The following is a 19,655-nucleotide window of genomic DNA, read 5'->3' as shown; positions in this document are numbered from 1 at the left end:
GTGTTGAACCAGCCTTGCATCTCGGGGTTGAAGCCTACTTGATCATGGTGATAAGCTTTTTGATGTGCTGCCAGATTTGGTTTGCCAGTATTTTATTGAGGATTTTTGCATTGATGTTCATTAGGGATATTGGCCTGAAGCCTTCTTTTTTCGTTGTTCTTTCTTTGCCAGGGTTTGGTATCAGGATGATGCTGACCTCATAAAATGAGTTAGGGAGGAGTCCTTTGCAGTTGTTTGGAATAGTTTTAGAGGAAATGGTACCAGCTCTCTTTGTATCTCTGGTAGAATTTAGCTGTAAATCCATCTGATCCTGGGCTTTTTTGGTTGGTAGGCTATTTATTACTCCCTCATTTTCAGAACTTGTTATTGGTCTATTCAGGGATTCAACTTCCTGGTTCAGTCTTGGGAGGATGTATATGTCCAGGAATTTATCTATTTCTTCTAGATTTTCTAACTTACTTGCAGAGAGGTGTTTGTAGTACATTCTCTGATGGTCGTTTGTATTTCTGTGGGGTCAGTGGTGGTATCCCCTTTATCATTTTTTATTGTGTCTATTTGATTCTTCTCTTTTTCCTTCTTTATTAATCTAGCTAGCAGTCTATTTTATTAATTTTTTCAAAAAAAAAAACAGCTTCTGGATCTGTTAATTTTTTGAAGGGTTTTTTGTGTCTCTGTTTCCTTCACTTCTGCTCTGATCTTGGTTATTTCTTGTCTTCTGCTAGCTTTGGGTTTTTTGTTGTTGTTGGTGGTGGTTCTCTAGTTCTTTTAGTTGTGATGTTAGGATTTCACTTTGAGATCTTCCTAGCTTTTTTTTTTTTTTTTTTTTTTTAGGCAGGGCACAGTGGCTCACGCCTGCAATCCAAGCACGTTGGAATGCTGTGGCAGGGGGATTACTTGAGGTCAGGAGTTTGAGACCAGCCTGGCCAACATGGTGAAATCTCATCTTTACTTAAAAAAAAAAAAAAAATTAGCCTGGCATGGTGGCACGTGCCTGTAATGCCAGCTACTCAGGAGACTGAGGCAGGAGAATCACTTGAACCTAGGAGGCAGAGGTTGCAGTGAGCTGAGATCGTGCCACTGCACTCCAGTCTAGGTGACAGCGAGACTCTGTCTCAAAAAAAAAAAAAAATCTTTCTAGCTTTTTAATGTGGGCATTTTAGTGCTATAAATTTCCCTGTTAACACTGCTTTAGCTGCATCCCAGAGATTCTGGTACATTGTCTTTTTGTTCTCATTGGTTTCAAAGAACTTCTTGATTTCTGCCCTAATTTCATTATTTACCCAACAGTCATTCAGGAGCAATTGTGCAATTTCCGTGTAGTTGTGTGGTTTTGAGTGAGTTTCTTTGAGTTCTAATTTAATTTCTCTGTGGTCTGAGAGACTGTTTGTTATTATTTCAGTTATTTTGCATTTGCTGAGGAGTGTTTTACTTCCAATTATGTGATCAGTTTTAGACTAAATGCAATGTGACACTGAGAAGATTGTATATTCTGTTGTTTTGGGATGGAGAGTTCTGTAGATATCTATCAGGTCCACTTGTTTTAGAACTGAAGAGAACTGTTATTTTTAAAGAAATTTTTAAAAGCTGAAAACAAGTGTTTTAGATTGAAAGAGCTAATAGTGTTTATTGCTTTGATGGGTTTCAACTTACTCTGCTGGCTTTTTTTTTTTCAAAAATGTTTCAGAATCTTTATTTTTTGCCTCAGAGATGTTGAATTTCTTTTTATTTATTTATTTTTATGATACTTTAAGTTCTGGGGTACATGTGCAGAACGTGTAGTTTTGTTACATAGATATACATGTGCCATGGAGGTTTATTGCACCCATAAACCTGTCACCTACATTAGGTATTTCTCCTAGTGCTGTCCCTCCCCTAGCCCTCCACCCCCCAACAGGCCCCAGTGTGTGATGTTCCCCTCCCTGTGTCTATGTGTTCTCATTGTTCAGCTCCCACTTATGAGTGAGAACATGTGGTGTTTGGTTTTCTGTTCTTGAGTTAGTTTGCTGAGTATGATGGTTTCCAGTTTCATCCATGTCCCTGCAAAGGACATGAACTCATCCTTTTTTATGGCTGCATAGTATTCCATGGTGTATATGTGCCACATTTTCTTTCTCCAGTCTATCATTGATGGGCATTTGGGTTGGTTCCAAGTCTTTGCTCTTGTGAATAGTGCCGCAGTAAACATATGTGTGTATGTGTCTTTATAGTAGAATAATTTATAATTCTTTGGGTATATACCCAGTAATGGGATTGCAGGGTCAAATAGTATTTGTAGTTCTAGATCCTTGAGGAATCACCACACTGCCTTCCACAATGGTTGAACTAATTTACACTCCCACCAACAGTGCAAAAGTGTTCCTGTTTCTCCACATCCTGTCCAGCATCTGTTGCTTTCTGACTTTTTAATGATCGCCATTCTAACTGGTGTGAGATGGTATCTCATTGTGGTTTTGATTTTGCATTTCTCTATTGATCAGTGATGATGAGCATTTTTTCATGTGTCTCTTGGCTGCATAAATGTCTTCTTTTGAGAAGTGTCTGTTCATAACCTTTGCCAACTTTTTGATGGGATTATTTATTTTTTTCTTGTGAATTTATTTAAGTTCTTTGTAGTTCTGGTTATTAGCCCTTTGTCAGATAGATAGATTGCAAAAATTTTCTCCCATTTTGTAGGTTGCTTGTTCACTCTGATGATAGTTTCTTTTGCTGTGCAGAAGCTCTTTAGTTTAATTAGATCCCATTTGTCAATTTTGGCTTTTGTTGCCATTGCTTTTGGTGTTTTAGACATGAAGTGTTTGCTCATGCCTATGTCCTGAATGGTATTGCCTAGGTTTTCTTCTAGGATTTTTATGGTGTTAGGTCTTATGTTTAAGTTTTTAATCCATCCTGAGTTAATTTTTGTTTAAGGTGTAAGGAAGGGTCCAGTTTCAGTGTTCTGCATATGACTAGCCAGTTTTCCCAACACCATTTATCAAATAGGGAATCCTTTCCCCATTGCTTGTTTTTGTCAGATTTGTCAAAGATCATATGGTTGTAGATGTGTGGCGTTATTTCTGAGGCCTCTGTTCTGTTTCCTTGGTCTATATATCTGTTTTGGTACCAGTACCATGCTGTTTTGGTTACTGTAGCCTCGTAGTGTAGTTTGAAGTCAGGTAGTGTGATGCCTCCAGCTTTGTTCTTTTTGCTTATGATTGTCTTGGCTCTGTGGGCTCTTTTTTGGTTCCATGTGAAGTTTAGTTTTTCCAGTTCTCTGAAGAAAGTCAATGGTAGCTTGATGGGGATGGCATTGAATCTGTAAATTACTTTGGGCAGTATGGCCATTTTCCTGATACTGATTCTTCCTATCCATGAGCATGGAATGTTTTTCCATTTATTTGTGTCCTTTCTTATTTCCTTGAGCAGTAATGTGTAGTTCTCCTTGAAGAGGTCCTTCATACCCCTTGTAAATTGTATTCCTGGGTATTTTATTCTCTTTGTAGCAATTGTGAATGGGAGTTCACTCATGATTTGGCTCTCTGCCTGTTATTGGTGTATAGGAATGCTTGTGATTTTTGCACATTGATTTTGTATCCTGAGACTTTGCTGAAGTTGCTTATCAGCTTAAGGAGATTTTGGGCTGAGACAATGGGGTTTTCTAAAAATACAATCATGTCATCTGCAGAGACAATTTGACTTCCTCTTTTCCTATTTGAATACCTTTATTTCTTTCTCTTGCCTGATTGCCCTAGCCAGAACTTCCAATACTGTGTTGAATAGGAGTGGTGAGAGAGGGCATCCTTGTCTTGTGCCAGTTTTCAAAGGGGATGCTTCCAGTTTTCGCCTATTCAGTATGGTATTGGCTGTGGGTTTGTCTTAAATAGCTCTTATTATTTTGAGATATGTTCCATCAATACCTAGTTTATTGAGAGTTTTTAGCATGAAGGGGTGTTGAATTTTGTTGAAGGCCTTCTCTGCATCTATTGAGATAATCATGTGGTTTTTGTCATTGGTTCTGTTTATGTGATGGATTACGTTTATTTATTTGCGTATGTTGAACCAACCTTGCATCCCAGGGATGAAGCTGACTTGATCGTGGTGGATAAGCTTTTTGGTGTGCTGCTGCATTCGGTTTGCCAGTATTTTATTGAGGATTTTCACATCGATGTTGATCAGGGATATTTTCTTTTCTTTTGAAAAGAAAATTCTTTTTTTGTTGTGTCTCTGCCAGGTTTTGGTATCAGGATGATGCTGGCCTCATAAAATGAGTTAGGGAGGAGTCCCTCTTTTTCTGTTGTTTGGAATAGTTTCAGAAGGAATGGTACCAGCTTTTCTTTGCACCTCTGGTAGAATTCAGCTATGAATCCTTCTGGTCCTGGACTTTTTTTGTTGGTAGGCTATTAATTACTGCCTCAGTTTCAGAACTTGAATATTGGTCTCTTCAGGGATTCGACTTCTTCCTGGTTTAGACTTGGGAGGGTGTATGTATCCAGGAATTTATTCATTTCTTCTAGATTTTCTAGTTTATTTGCATAGAGGTGTTTATAGTATTCCCTGATGGCATTTTGTATTTCTGTTGGATCAGTGGTGATATCCCCTTTATCGTTTTTTATTGCATCTATTTGATTCATCTCTCTTTTGTTCTTTATTAGTCTGGCTTGTGGTCTATTTTGTTGATCTTTTCCAAAAACCAGCTCCTGGATTCATTGATTTTTTTGAAGGGTTTTTCATGACTCTATCTCCTTCAGTTCTGCTCTGATCTTAGTTATTTCTTGTCTTCTGCTAGCTTTTGACTTTATTTACTCTTGCTTCTCTAGTTCTTTTAATTGTGATGTTAGGGTGTCAATTTTAGATCTTTCCTGCTTTCTCTTGTGGTCATTTAGTGCTATAAATTTCCCTCTCCACACTGCTTTAAATGTGTCCCAGAGATTCTGGTACGTTGTGTCTTTGTTCTCATTGGTTTCAAGGAACATCTATTTCTGCCTTCCTTTCATTATTTACCCAGTAGTCATTCAGGAGCAAGTTGTTCAGTTTCCATGTAGTTGAGTGAGTTTCTTAATCCTGAGTTCTAATTTGATTGCACTGTGGTCTGAGAGACTGTTATGATTTCCTTTCTTTTGCCTTTTCTGAGGAGTGTTTTACTTCAAATTATGTGGTCAATTTTAGAATAAGTGTGATGAGGTGCTGAGAAGAATGTATATTCTGTTGATTTGTTGTGGAGAGTTCCGTAGATGTCTATTAGGTCCGCTTGGTCCAGAGCTGAGTTCAGGTCCTGAATACCCTTGTTAATTTTCTGTCTTGTTGATCTAATATTGACAGTGGGGTGTTAAAGTCTCCCACCGTTATTGTGTGGGAGTCTAAGTGTCTTTGTAGGTCTCTAATAACTTGCTTTATGAATCTGGGTGCTCTTCTATTGGGTGCATATATATTTAGGTTAGTTAGCTCTTGTTATTGCATTGATCCCTTTACCATTATGTAATGCCCTTCTTTGTCTCTGTTGATCTTTGTTGGTTTAAAGTCAGTTTTATCAGAGACTAGGATTACAACGCCTGCCTTTTTTTTTTTTTTTTTTTTTTTTTTTTTTTTTTTTTTTTTGCTTGGTAAATATTCCTCCATCCCTTTATTTTGAGCCTATGTGTGCCTTTGGCCATGAGGTGGGTCTCCTGAATACAGCACAGTGATGGGTCTTGACTCTTTATCCAGTTTGCCAGTCTGTGTCTTTTAATTGAGGCATTTAGCCCGTTTACATTCGGAGTTAACATTGTTGTGTGTGAATTTGATCCTGTCATAGATATTGAATTTCTTATCTAATTAGTGTTGAAATTTGGTAATGGGGATTTGAATTTATTTGGTTTTATTTTCTATACATGATAAAAAATGATAAAACCATAGGAAAGAAATCTCTTGTATTTTTCTGTTTTTTTGTTTGTTTGTTTTGGTGAGTCTTTTTTCATTTGTTTAAAAGACATTCATAATTGCTTTTTGAAACATTTTTAATGATACCTGCTTTAAAATCCTTGTCGGGTCTATCTAGCATCTATGTCATCTTAGTATTGGTGTCTGATGATTGTCTTTTCTCATTTCAGTTGAGAGTTTCCTAGTTGATATGATGAATAATTTTTAATTACATCCAGGACATTATAGTTACCATGCGACTCTAGATCTTACTGAAATATTCTGTTGTAGCAGTGGGGGCTGGAGGTGCTGCTGTCAGGTAGAGGTGAAGGTCCACATTACCCACTCTGCCTCCTTTTACTTTCTAGGGTGGATCCAGTGAGGGGGCTCGTTACTGGGTGAAGGTGGAATTTCAAGCTCTCCACTAGGCCTTTGCTGACCCCTTCCTGGTTGTGAGGGAGGGGGGCACCTTGTTACTGCTCCACATGGCCTCCACTGTCACCTCTGTTGGTTGGGGGCTTGCTATCACCAGGCAAGGGACAGATTCTCAACTCTGTCTTCTTTGATAGCACCTCAATGTGTGTAGCATGAGTTGGGGAGAGGGGTACCTCATTTCAGGCTGCTAAGGGTGGCTGCCTAGGCTCTCCATTCAGTGTAGGGAGGCGAGAGTGGGGCCAGGATTTGTTCCCTTGTAACTAGCTGGAATATTATTTCTTTGGCCAGAGAGAGCAGGCTTTTCTTGGGGCTTTGTTTCTCCACTTCTTTTGGCGTTTCTGGGTTGCCATCCTCTCTAGCACTCAGTCCAGGATATGTGAGGCAAAAGTAAAACCCAGGAAATGCTGCTTTGTCGTTTCTTGCATCCTGAGATCTCTAGCCTATCATCTTTTTTCTCTCTACCTTTCAGTCTTTATGTTCATTTATATATCAGGTTTCAGAGTTTTTAGCTGTACTTAGCAGGAGGAATAGAGAGAATTTATGTACTTTTAAAAGTTATTTTTTATGAAATAACTTTGACATTCCTAGCAATTTACTTCTGAAAAAATGTTTTCGGCCTGGCATGGTGGCTTACGCTTGTAATCCCAGCACCTTGGGAGGCCAAGGCAAGCAGATCACCTGAGGTCAAGAGTTCAAGGCCAGCCTGGCCAACATGGTGAAACTCTGTCTCTACTAAAAATACAAAAATTAGCTGGGCGTGTCCCAGTTATTCGGGAGGCTGAGGCAGGAGAATCCTTTGAACCTGGGAGGTGGAGATTGCAGTGAGCTGAAATCATGCCACTGCACTCCGGCCTGGGTGACAGAGCGAGACTCTATTTCAAAAAAAAAAAAAAAAGTTTTTGGATCCTTAAACCAACAGGCTTTTGCTTGCAAATATTTTAAGACCCAATTAAAATATAATAGAAATGTTTAAAATGAAATATTAGAGGCCATTAAAATGATATTGTAAATTTGAATTTATTGACATGAAAAGAGATTCACAATGTAATAAATGAAAAACAGATTTCAAAATAATGTTTGGTGTTAAGTATATACAAATGTGTATAAAAATATATGTACATATATATGTACATATATGTACATATATGAAGGTTTAGAATGATATAAGGGGGTATATCTCTGGGAAGATAGAAATTTTGTGTGCATTATTTTATGCTTGTTGCTCCTGGAGACTTTTAGTTCTTTTGTAGAAAACATTGCTTGATTTTGAAATAAGAATGAAATATAAAAGTTCTTAATTTATTTACAGTGAATAAAAATATATTTTCACAATATTTTTCTCATTGGGATATTGTAATTTTTGTTTATTTTCAGAGTTCATAATCTACTTAAGCATCTGTGATCATTATATTTAATATCTTACAGGTTCCTCTACCTGGCATGAAATGGGTAGATAATCACAAAGGTGTTTTTAATGTTGAAGTTGTTGCTGTTTCGTCTATCCATACACAAGTGAGTTTTAATAATTTTTATTATCAAATTTCACTTAAATAAATTGAACGTAATATCTAATACTTGTGATGTCAGTTTTGTTACCTGTCATAAATCTGTCATTGCTGTCAGATTTATGAGAATATATGTCAGTTAAAAACATACAATATTTAGAAGATTTTTTTAAAAAGAATCAACAAAATGTCATTGAATGTCAACAAAAGCAAACATTTTTGTTTCAAAATGTCATTGACTTCATGTTTTTTCTAAGTTTCTGGTACATGGCAGAATTAATTAGAATTGAGAAACCATCATCAGCTCACTTTATTTCTCATAGACTTGAGTATTTCAAATGGAAAGAGTTTTTAGGGATCATTTGTTCCAAATTCCTTATTTTTGGAATATACCAAGTTCTGATAGGTTTTATACATCCTCTTTCTCTGCCTGGAATGCTTTTCCTCCTGGTATTCATTTGACTTATGAATTGGAGTTTCTCTTCCCCTCAGAGAGGCCTTCCATGGTTACTCTTTAAAACATAGCAACCTCATTACTGTATGTCATCTTACCCTGCACTTATTACTGCCTACGCCCAGCTTCTCTGTTGCGCTTTGACTCTGTCACTCTTTCTGTTTGTGTGTATGTATATAACACACATACATACACATTTGTTTATTGTTTCTTTCCCACATTAGATGATAAGTTCCGTGAGATGAGAGATGTTACCTGTTGAGGAAAGAGCTTTTCCTTCAAGAACCTTACAGTGTAATATGGGAAAGTGTAAAAAGTATGATAAAATTAGTACAGTGTTACATATATTAACTAAATTCTTTGAAGTACAGAGGGAAGAGTTATCTGTTTTGCTAGGCACTGAGATGTTGCATTTATAAGTAGCCATTTACTACTCAGAGAAAGGGAGAGTGGACAACTCAGATGATGAGTAGCAAGTACAGAGTTACAGTAGTCTAAGGACCATCAGGTGACCTGGTGTGAAAATAGTTTAAAGTGTGTAGGAAATCATGATACATAAGGATAGAAGGCTGGTAATAGATTGTGAAGGACCTTGAATGCCATAGAGTCCAGGTGGATGGTAATTTCTACCCTAAATAGAGAACATGAGAGAAATACTTTTGGGGCCATGCTAAGGGGAAGCAGTTATGGTGCCTGTGAGTTTATTTTTGAACCTGTTGAGTTTGAAGTGCCTACGTACTTCAGATGGAGATGTCCTGTAGGTGGTTGTAATTAGTTTGAAGTTTGGGTTTGGAGGTAACAGAATAAATGCGATAGCTGAAACTATATTGGTAAATGTGATTTTCCATGGAGAATATGTACAGGGAGAAGAAGCAAGTATTTAAAATGAAATTCAGGGCTTCACTAACCTATACACAGAAAGGGTGGTGTGGAGGGACTTCCCAAAGCCATCTCAGGTTCAGTGATTTGCTAGGAGGACTTACGGGACTCAGCATATAGTCATACTCAGAGCTATGATTTATTTTAGTGAAAGAATGGAAAGCAGAATTCACAAAGGGAAAAGGCTCATGGGGTGAAGTCCAGAGGAAACAAGAAATAAGCTTCCAAAAATCCTCTCCCAGTGGAATCACATGGGGCAAGTTGAAACAACATATGTGAAATGTTGTCTGCCACAGAAGTTCAGTACAGACTCAATTCCCAGGGTTTTTACTTGTCACGTAGGCACCCTTTGCCTAACATGTACCAAAATTCCAGATTCCCAGAAGGAAAGTAGGTGTTCAGCTTATACCATATTGTTTTGCACAAACGTTTGAGGCACAGTGAGCCATCTCTGTCAATGGGAACCCCCCTGAAATCCAAGTTCCCAGTGATTAGCCCAAGGCCAAACTTGTAAACAGGACTTTCAAAGAATAGCTGTCTTAAGCCCACTATGTTAATTCTTTTCTGCACAGTGAGGTAGGGGAAAAGAAGAAGATACAGCACCTCTATGCTGTCTTTAGGAAGAAAGTTGGTAGTATATAGATTTTATTTAGAACTACACAGGTAGTCTCCAGTAAAAGAATGACGCCAGTATCATAAGGTATGGCGATGAGTTTGCCTTATATCCAAAGGCTTTGGAGCTGAAAGACAATAAATTAATAATGGACAAAAGTAGGTTACTAATATGCCTGCCACAATAATTGAACTTCAAACTAATAAAGCAAACTAAAACTAAAAAAAAAAAATCTTAATTAGTATCAGTTTTCTTAAGTAACTAATAGTATTTGAAGTGATCATTTTATAATGATAAATGAAAATAGATTTGTTTAATTGGAAACAATGTTTGTATACCTACTTGAACTTTTTAGTGTTATCAAGTAATATGACATGTTTGTGGTCCGTGGTCCTTTAGAAGTGGGAAATTTATAAAGTTATAAGTGCTTAGTGCTTTTGTTTATTCTTTGTTTTAGGATCCTTATCTTGACAAATTTTTTGCTCTGGTCAATGCTCTGGATGAACACCTGTTCCCAGTCCGAATTGGGGACATGCGAATCATGGAAAATAACTTAGAAAATGAATTGAAGAGCAGTATTTCAGCACTGAATTCATCCCAGCTGGAACCAGTGGTCCGATTTCTTCATCTTCTGCTAGATAAACTGATACTTTTAGTTATTAGACCTCCTGTCATTGCTGGCCAAATAGGTAATTTACTTTTGTTTGGGGATGAGACGTGAAATTTATAACTTGACATTTCTAAATTTTGTTAAAAAAAAAAAACATGATTTCTATTTGCTATATATAAGGACTATATTTGATTTGGGGTGGAAGATGTTATTTACTTGTTTATAATGCCAGAAAATAACTTTTATTTTGTTTTTATAAAATGTGTTCTATAGGCATATACTGAAATTATAGAAACAAATTTATTTATTTATTTACCAAATATTTATTAAGCACTTACTATGTACCTGACACTGATAGGCACTGTTCAGGGCATGGTTCCTGACTTTAACATCTCACAGACTAGTTAAGAAAACAGGCAAACAGGTAAATCATGTTGTATTTTACAGGATGTATAATCTACCTACTCTACATTTTCATTCATCTGCTATCCTCCGCTTAATGTAGCTCTTCTTTCCTTCATTTTCTTAGTCTCTGTTTTCTCTTTTTATTTTCTATAATTCTGGAAGGAAAGGTGTTCTTCATTCCCATCGTTTTTCAAGGTTTACTCCTTATTTTTTTACCAACAGCTTTCACCCAAATCCTGCAGGGAAGTTGAACTTGAAAGAAATTTCAGCTAACCAGATATAATTTTTATGTTTGACTAGTGACACAAAGGAGAGGAGTATTCAATTATTTGAGTTTTTTTAGGGGAGATTTATAAGTAGAAATAATTCCTGGGTTGAGTATTTAAAGATGAATAGGAGTCTGACAGGTAAATATTATTCCAAGGAGATTAAACAGCATGAAACAGCATGTACATAGTACACAGACATAATGAACTCAGAATGAATTTGGGGGAGGAATTTTAAGTAATTAGTTATAAATTAGAGGATTGATTAGAGGTAATATGGAGAGTGGGAGATGAAGTTGGGTCTTCCACACTTTAGGAAATTGGGACTTTTTCTGTAGGGAATAAATAGCCTTTGAAGAATCTGGTCTTAATTAGAGAAGTAACATGACCAAGTTTGACTAGAAAAAGATGGCTATGCTATGTAGAGATGACTTAAAAGTGGGAAAACCTACAGGCAGGGAGACAAATTAGGAGTCTTGCAGAATTTCATACAAAAAATGATGAGTTCCTGTTAAAACATGGGTGACAATGGGATGGAGAAGAGAGAATGGATTGTGAGATCACAGAGTGTACAGTTACAGAAATTATAGAAGAAGGTTTTAAGGAAAAAAAGGTTAGCATTGTTCTTTGTTATAGATTATATAAGTAAAATAATAGTAATAACAGTAATTGCAAACACTTGCATAGCATTTACTGTGTACCAGGAATAATGCTATGTGCTTTATTTATATTTGAGAGCCAAGATTCAAACTGGTTCCAGAGTCCCTCTCTCTCTTATCTAGTATGCTTGAGAAATGTCTACTCGTGAAATTACATCAGTAATTTTAGTCTAAGTGAAGGTAGAAGCCAGATTACAGGGAATTAAGAAGCAAATAGATGATAAAATAAATACAAGAAGCTATACTACTATTTAAGAAGTTAAGTTAGAAGAGAAAGCAGGGTTGAGTAGGGCAAAAGAGTGGAGACATTTTAGCATGTTTATGTGCTGAGAGAAATCAGCATCTAAACATGCTCAAATGGGAGAAGGGAGAAAAATACATGGGGAGAAAAGAGGTTAATTAATGAAGCAATTCTGGGAGACAAGAGTAAAGGTGATAGATAGATCACTCTTACATAGGAGAGGGCACTACTTCCTTTGGAGAGGAGATAAAGTAATTTCAGATTCTGATAAATTTGTAGAAAAAGATGAGGACTTTTGGCCAGGTGTGGTAGCTCACAACTATAATCCCAGCACTTTGGGAGGCCAAGATGGGAGGACTGCCTGAAGCTAGGAGTTCCAGACCAGCCTGGTCAACATAGCAAGACCCCATCTCTTAAAAAAAAAAAAAAAAGAAAAGAAAAAGAAAAACATGAGAACTTTCATGCTTTATACATTTCTTCTGTGAGGTAGAAGGCAAGATTTGCTAAGGAGGAATTAAGGAGGACCTTAGTTTTGAGAAGGATTCTTGTAACTTGGAGTAGCTACTGTAAGAAAAAGGAAAAGGATTAACCAGAAACACAGGTAGGATCGCTTAACTTCGCTCAGGTTTCTGTCTCTGGTCTCTTTCCCCTCTAGTTCAGTATATATAGATTAATCTTCCTAAATGACCATTTTATCTGATTATTCTACTTTTGGGAAAACTTAATTGGCCTCATTATCTCTTCATAATTTCCTGTCTTGGTTAAATAAATTATAGAATCTAAGATCCTATTGCTCAAAGTGGCTGTTCAGTTTACCCATTTATGCAGTGTGCAATTTATCACAATTCTCCAATTTTTGTAAAATTATTGTTACATACTGACTTGAGTGACCGAGTAGGTATTGCTTAGCCTGGGATTTAAAATGCTGTAGTCTTACCTCAACCTGTTTTTCTAGCCCCCTCTTTTTTTTTTTTTCCTTCTAATCATTTTACAGATTCACTCATTCCAATCAAGTTGCTTATTCACTATTTTCTTATTATACTGTTATTATTTTCAATAATCTCTTTTATTATTGATATTTTTAATTTTTTTAAACAAAAGTAATATATGCCCTTATATGCTATTTAGATTTTTGGAGTAATCTTTAAAATGAAAAATTGCTTCTTAAGGTATTACACACGATGTATTTTCTTTTTTCTTATGTACTTTGTATTGTTTTACTAAATAACATATCCGTTGAGCATTGTTTTCTTTTTTGACTAATCAAACCCATATAATTTTCATCTTAAATTAGTAAAATGAGTTCTCATTTTGTTCAGAAAAGTATTTTTGGCTCAGCTAATGCAACGTGTAATTAAAAGTCAATATCAAATAGTAATCATCTTTATACACTTACTGTGTAGTCACTATACTTAAAGTATGCAAAGATGACAAAATGTTGATCTTCGTGGAATTTACAGTCTAAAAAAAGTTAAAGCAAAGGTAAATACTTCTTCTTTCTTAAAAGTTAACCTAGGTCAAGCATCTTTTGAAGCCATGGCATCAATTATAAATCGACTTCACAAAAACTTGGAAGGAAATCATGACCAGCATGGCAGAAACAGCCTTCTTGCATCATATATTCATTATGTTTTCCGCCTACCAAATACTTACCCTAATTCATCATCACCAGGTATTTTATTCTTTTTACTATGAAGCTGTCTTTCATAAATTATATGTTCATGTCAGTATTGAGATAATTTTGTAGTCCATACTGTGATCCATTTATTCAAAGGCAAACATTTATTGAACACCTGCTAAGTACCATTCACTGTGCTAGGTGCTGAAGTTAAAGAGATAAATAAGTTACATTTTTAGACATCTTTTTTTATACAGTTTGCTTTAGTTTGAATTAGAGTTCTTGGTTGAGTTAATTTTTGGAAATGAGCTTTGAAAATAACTTTGTCTCTGGAAGCATTTTATCATTCCTTGTTAAGATAAGGAATTGCTTGCCCCTGTAATCCCAGCTGTTTAGGAGGCTGAGGTGGGAGGATCTCATGAGCCCAGGAATTTGAGGCCAGAGTGAGCTATGATCTTGCCAGTGCACTCCAGCCTGGGCAACAGAGTGAGATCCTGTCTTTTAAACATAAAAAAGACAAGAAAAATAGAATCTTGTATTTGTCATTCAGAGTGCTGTTGGGCATTAAAGGAGAAATGTGGTGGCTCGGTAGTTTCCTGAAAACCCTTTGAAACCTACAGTGATATAGAAGATTGTTCTCTAGGAAAGTTCTGATCTCTTCGTGGTCAGTGAAATAATATAACCTTTCTGAGTACTGGAGACTCGACTTGTTATTGTCTTTTGTGTACCACTGGTGATAGTGGAGGTAACGGTGGGAGATGTCTTAGTGTGAATAATCCTTTGGTTGTTCATTTAACTAACTAATGATTATGTTGTGCGTATCATTTAACCTACTCACATACATGTCTGTATGACATTAATGATAATGGCAAGTGCCTTTTATCAGCTTTTGGCAATGTTGACATTGATAACGGTGACTAATAATTGTGACGTTCGTTATGAACACTAGACATAATAGTAACCTGATTTTAAATTTTAGCCCAATTTATTTCTTTACTTAATTGCAAAAAGAAAAGCAATTGACATTTATATTCTGGTTTATAATTTCCTATGTTAATTTTTAAAATTATACCACTTGAGGACATGAATGTGTGAGTGATTATGTAATATCTACAGTGCTCCTCCATTTACTGTTTTATTCAGTACACTATTAGAATTCCACAGATTTTGCAAAGCATCTTTTTTTTACATGCTGACCTGAAAGATTGTATGAATTAATTAGGCAACAGGTATGTATTAATATCATTTGCAAATATGACATTCGGAAAGATGAAGATAAATTAACACTATAATTCCTGGATGTTTTATTTTAAAAATAAAAGACAGGTTGGAAGATGATGTTAGGCTTGATTTTAGTCAGGCAAAAAGGGAGGCATTGCTTTTTTTTTTTTTTTTTTTTTTTTTTTTGAGATGGAGTCTCACTCTGTTGCCCAGGCTGGAGTGCAATGGCGCAATATTGGCTCACTGCAAGCTCCGCTTCCCGGGTTCACGCCATTCTCCTGCCTCAGCCTCTCGGGTAGCTGGGACTACAGGTGCCTGCCACCACGCCCAGCTAATTTTTTGTATTTTTAGTAGAGACGGGGTTTCACTGTGTTAGCCAGGATGGTCTCAGTCTCCTGAACTCGTGGTCCGCCTGCCTTGGCCTCCCAAAGTGCTGGGATTATAGGCGTGAGCCACCACGCCCAGCCGCCTTTGCTTTTTTATCACTTTGGATCTGAAAATTATCTTTAGTTTTTTGTATGTATATCATAAAGATACTATTTTGTTATTCACATTGTCACTGATGAAGATAGAGAAATGAAACATGCTCTCATTTAAAAGATGTTAGCAGTAATGAAGGTAGAGAAATAAAACACGGTTTAATTTAAGAGATGTTAGCAATAAATTGGCACTCTCTCTAGTGACTGTCAAGGGGCAGAGTAGGAGAGGTGGGAAAAAAGGAAGAGACACCAGCTGGAGCATCTTGGGTCCGAAATACCAACTATACCGAAGTGAAAGGGCTGCGTGTGCGTGTGTGTGTGTGTGCGCGCACGCACGCACACGTCTGTGTGTGTGTGTTTCCTATTTTGGTTTTTATTGTATGTGTAATATACAATTATAGAAATACTGAAGAGATAATGATTTTATTTATAGTTCATATGGTTTTATAAACTGCTGTAAAATAGAGTATCTTTGTACAGCAATCATTAGTTCTTGAGTGTTTTTATTTTCTTTCTTTCTAAAAAAAACATTTCCCAGTGCTTCAAGGAGGCCAAGAGAGGAGGATTGCTTGAGGCCAGGAGTTCAAAACCAGCCTGGGCAACATAGCAAGACCCCGTCTCTACAAAAAAAAGAGAGAGAAATTTACCCGGGCATGGTGGTGTGTGCCTGTAGTCCTAGCTACTCAGGAGGCTGAGGTGGGAGTCCAGGAGTCCAAGATTATAGTGAACTATGGTCTCACTGCTGCACTCCAGTGCTGCCTCTTAATAAAAAAAAAAATGGCACCTGCCTATTAAAAAAAAAAAAAAAAAAAAAAAAAAAAAAATATATATATATATATATATATATATATATATATATATATATAAAATACTTTTTATTTAGAAGACCCTGCCTCTTCAGGCGGATCGCAAGGTCAAGAGATTGAGACCAGCCTGGCCAACATGGTGAAACTTCATCTCTACTAAAAATACAAAAATTAGCCGGGCGTGGTGGCACGCACCTGTAGTCCCAGCTACTCGGGAGGCTGAGGCAGGAGAATTGCTTGAACCCGGGAGGCAGAGGTTGCAGTGAGCCAAGATCAAGCCACTGCACTCCAGCCTGGCAACAGAGAGAGACTCTGTCTCAAAAAAAAAAAAAAAAAAAAAGTATATTTTTTATTTAGAAACCAAAGCAATTCATGATCTTTGTGGAATTTTCTAAAGTGGCAGAGATTTTTTTTCAGATCCTTTCCTGACTAATTTTCTTTAATTATGTGCTATTTCATATACAACTCTAGGTCCTGGGGGTTTGGGAGGATCAGTGCATTATGCCACAATGGCTAGATCTGCGGTGAGACCTGCAAGCCTTAATTTAAATCGTTCTCGAAGCCTTAGTAATAGCAATCCAGATATATCTGGGACTCCCACGTCACCAGATGATGAAGTTCGATCAATCATCGGGAGTAAGGTAAACTGAAGACATGCATCTGTAAATTTGGTTTTTGTTTTGTGAACAAACGAGAAATATCCAGTTGTTGTAATGTATTCTGAATTTTGAGATGTATGTAAGTTAGGAATTAGGAAGGAATTGTACATTTCTGTTCTATCAGTAAACACTGTTTTATTTTTCTGTTAAATATGCTTGCTCTTACAAACTACTCCACTAAAAATTCTAAAATTTGTCTGGAATCACTAGTTGCATATAACTTATTGTTGTCAGTCTGATACTCCATCATGTGAAAAATGGCTAGATTGATTTCATATAGAATTAAAATAAATCTGTGACTGATATGTAGAAGAGAGATGTCATCATTGATTCAAGTCATGAGATCCTCTTCTCCAAAAAATATCCAGAAGAGTGATTAAACAATTTTCCATTTTTGTAAACTAGAAAGAGTGATACTCAGAGTTATTTATAAGGGATACTGCAGAGTAACCTGAGTACTATGGCAGCTGCGAAAAGAGAACGCTTCCCCCACCCCCCACACACATTTATTTCCATGTTTAAGAAAAGAACTCAGGTTTTTTATTCCTGTTTTCATTATTGATTATATTTTATTGTAATACAGGTAGTACGTAGCATTATTTATATACTGTATATTTATATACTGCATAGGTCTTCAGTAGAATAAGTTTGATTTTTGGATTTTCAGAAACTTTCCTAAAGAAAAGAAGCTATAGACAGCATTTCCTTAAGGTTCTTTTAAAATGTCTCTTAATTTTTGTAAGATTTACATTAAGACTCATTTAGCATAATTCTATTTATTTCTTTTAGGTTTGATAGATTATAAACTCAAGATTTAGAACAAAGAGGCCTATATATATATGTAATGATTTTTTGCCTTTTTTCAAGATGTACTTTAAATGGATCAATGATTTTTAAAATATATATAAAAATATATACAAATATATAAATACAAGGTAGTTTCTTAGAAAGCCATTGCAAGATGAGAATTTGTCAGCCTTGTCCTAATCAAGTATTATTTACATAGTTTTTATGTTGTTTTCTTTTTATTGCAAAATTTTTGATAGCTACCTTCCTATTGAGTTTAGTTGTAATCACTAATAATGTATATAATTTTATCTCAAAATTATAAGGAATCTAAAGTTTATTTATAGCTACCCTTCATTTTTTCTTATTTTATTGACCTGGCAGTTCAAGAAACTCTTCTTCAGGTGATCTTGTTTTCCACTCCACCTCAGTCATGGTCTTCCCTTATATCACACTTGTTCAACCTGTGGCTTGCAGGCCACATGTGGCCCAGGACAGCTTTGAGTGCAGCTCAGCACAAATTTGTAAACTTTCTTAAAACATTATGAGTTTGTTCAGGGATTTTTTTTTTTTTTTGTAAGTTCATCAGCTGTCATTAATGTTAGTGTATTTTATGTGTGGCCCAAGACAATTCTTCTTCCAGTATGGCCCAGGGAAGCCAAAAGATTGGACACCCCTGCAATCTTGTCATTACCAATAACTTTAATTTTCACAATCTCAATTTCATGTATTTTGTTCTCTGTTATCTCCTGTTTTTCTTGTAGTACCTCAACTTAGTTTATCTACTCCTTTGCAATCTCTAATCTTGATCCTCCAACCTTTTTACTGTGTCTCACCCCCTTAATGTTCTCTCTTCTTCCTTAGCCAGCTTAATGTCTGTGGGCAATCATTATAATTATTCCCATCAGGCTGGGTATGGTGGCTCATGCCTGTAATCCCAGCACTTCAGGAGGCTGAGGCGGGCAGATCACCTGAGGTCAGGAGTTCAAAACCAGCCTGGCCAACATGGTGAAACCTCGCCTCTACTAAAAATACAAAAATTAGCCAGGCACGGCGGCAGATGCCTGTAATCCCAGCTACTCTGGAGGCTGAGATAGGTGAATCGCTTGAACCTGGGAGGCGGAGGTTGCAGGGAGCCGAGATCTCACCATTGCACTCCAGCCTGTGAGACAAGAGTGAAACTCTATTTCAGAAAAAAAAAAAAAAAATTACTCCCATTATAATCAAACCTCAGTTCCCTTATCTTTCCCAAACCTTGAAACCATAGTTAAACCCAATTGACTGCCTGTGCCATGTCAGCATCTGTGCAGCTAAACATGTCTTGAGAAATACCATGGTGATTGATCTCATTTGAAATAAACCTCAAGAGAGCCCTTAATGCTATTGGGCAATTATACTGTATTTCTGTATCTCCATCACTTTCCTGTTCTCCCAGGAAATGATTTAATTCCTTCTTTCATTACCTCAAACCTCCTAACACCTCTCCCCTCATTCCTTTTCTCATTTTATCTCCCATTTCATTGAGACAACTGAAACCATCAGAAGAAGACTTTGATAAACTTTTACCATGCTATCTAGCTACCTATTACCATCTACTATCTACTGCCTAATACTCTTCTGTATTAAAAATGAATAGATGAGCTATTTATTTTTCTAAATTAATTTCTTTCACTCAAGCTCTCATCTGGTCTCACCTGCTCAAGATCTACACTCCACCAGTTTTTCCATATCTCTTCCACATCATCAGTTTCTCCCTAAATACTGAATCATTCCCATTCACATATAGGCATGCTATTGTTTTTCTCATTTTGAAAAAAATGATTCCTCTCATTTGAAAGCAATCTAAGTGTCCATCAACAGATGACTGGATAAACAAAATGTGGTACATATATACAATGGCATACCATTCACCCATAAAAAAGAATGAGATCCTGTCATTTGCAACAAGGATGGAAGTGGAGATCATCATATTAAGTGAAATAAACCAGGCACAGAAAGACAAGCTTCACATGTTCTCACTTATTTGTAGAAGGTAAAAACTAAAACAACTGAACTCATGGAGATGGAGAGTAGAATGATAGTTACCAAAGACTGGGAAGGGGCAGTGGGTGTTAGGAGGGAAATGGAGATAGTTAATGGGTACAGAAA

General features: G+C 36.4%; 1 protein-coding gene across 14 annotated transcripts in view; it reads left to right on the top strand.

Annotated features, from left to right (window-relative positions):
• Positions 1-19,655, top strand: part of DOCK7 (dedicator of cytokinesis 7) — a 233,661-nt gene that overhangs the window by 118,952 nt on the left and 95,054 nt on the right. For all 14 annotated transcript variants that reach the window (XM_047432967.1, NM_001272001.2, NM_001272000.2 and 11 more), the window contains exons 19-22: positions 7,732-7,818; positions 10,215-10,446; positions 13,446-13,610; positions 16,534-16,703. In XM_047432967.1, coding sequence (XP_047288923.1) covers positions 7,732-7,818; positions 10,215-10,446; positions 13,446-13,610; positions 16,534-16,703 — 654 coding nt within the window. The remainder of the gene's footprint in view (positions 1-7,731; positions 7,819-10,214; positions 10,447-13,445; positions 13,611-16,533; positions 16,704-19,655) is intronic.

Source organism: Homo sapiens, chromosome 1 (genome assembly GCF_000001405.40).
Source record: "Homo sapiens chromosome 1, GRCh38.p14 Primary Assembly".
Classification (NCBI taxonomy): domain Eukaryota; kingdom Metazoa; phylum Chordata; class Mammalia; order Primates; family Hominidae; genus Homo; species Homo sapiens.
This window is presented reverse-complemented; position numbering and strand designations above follow the sequence as displayed.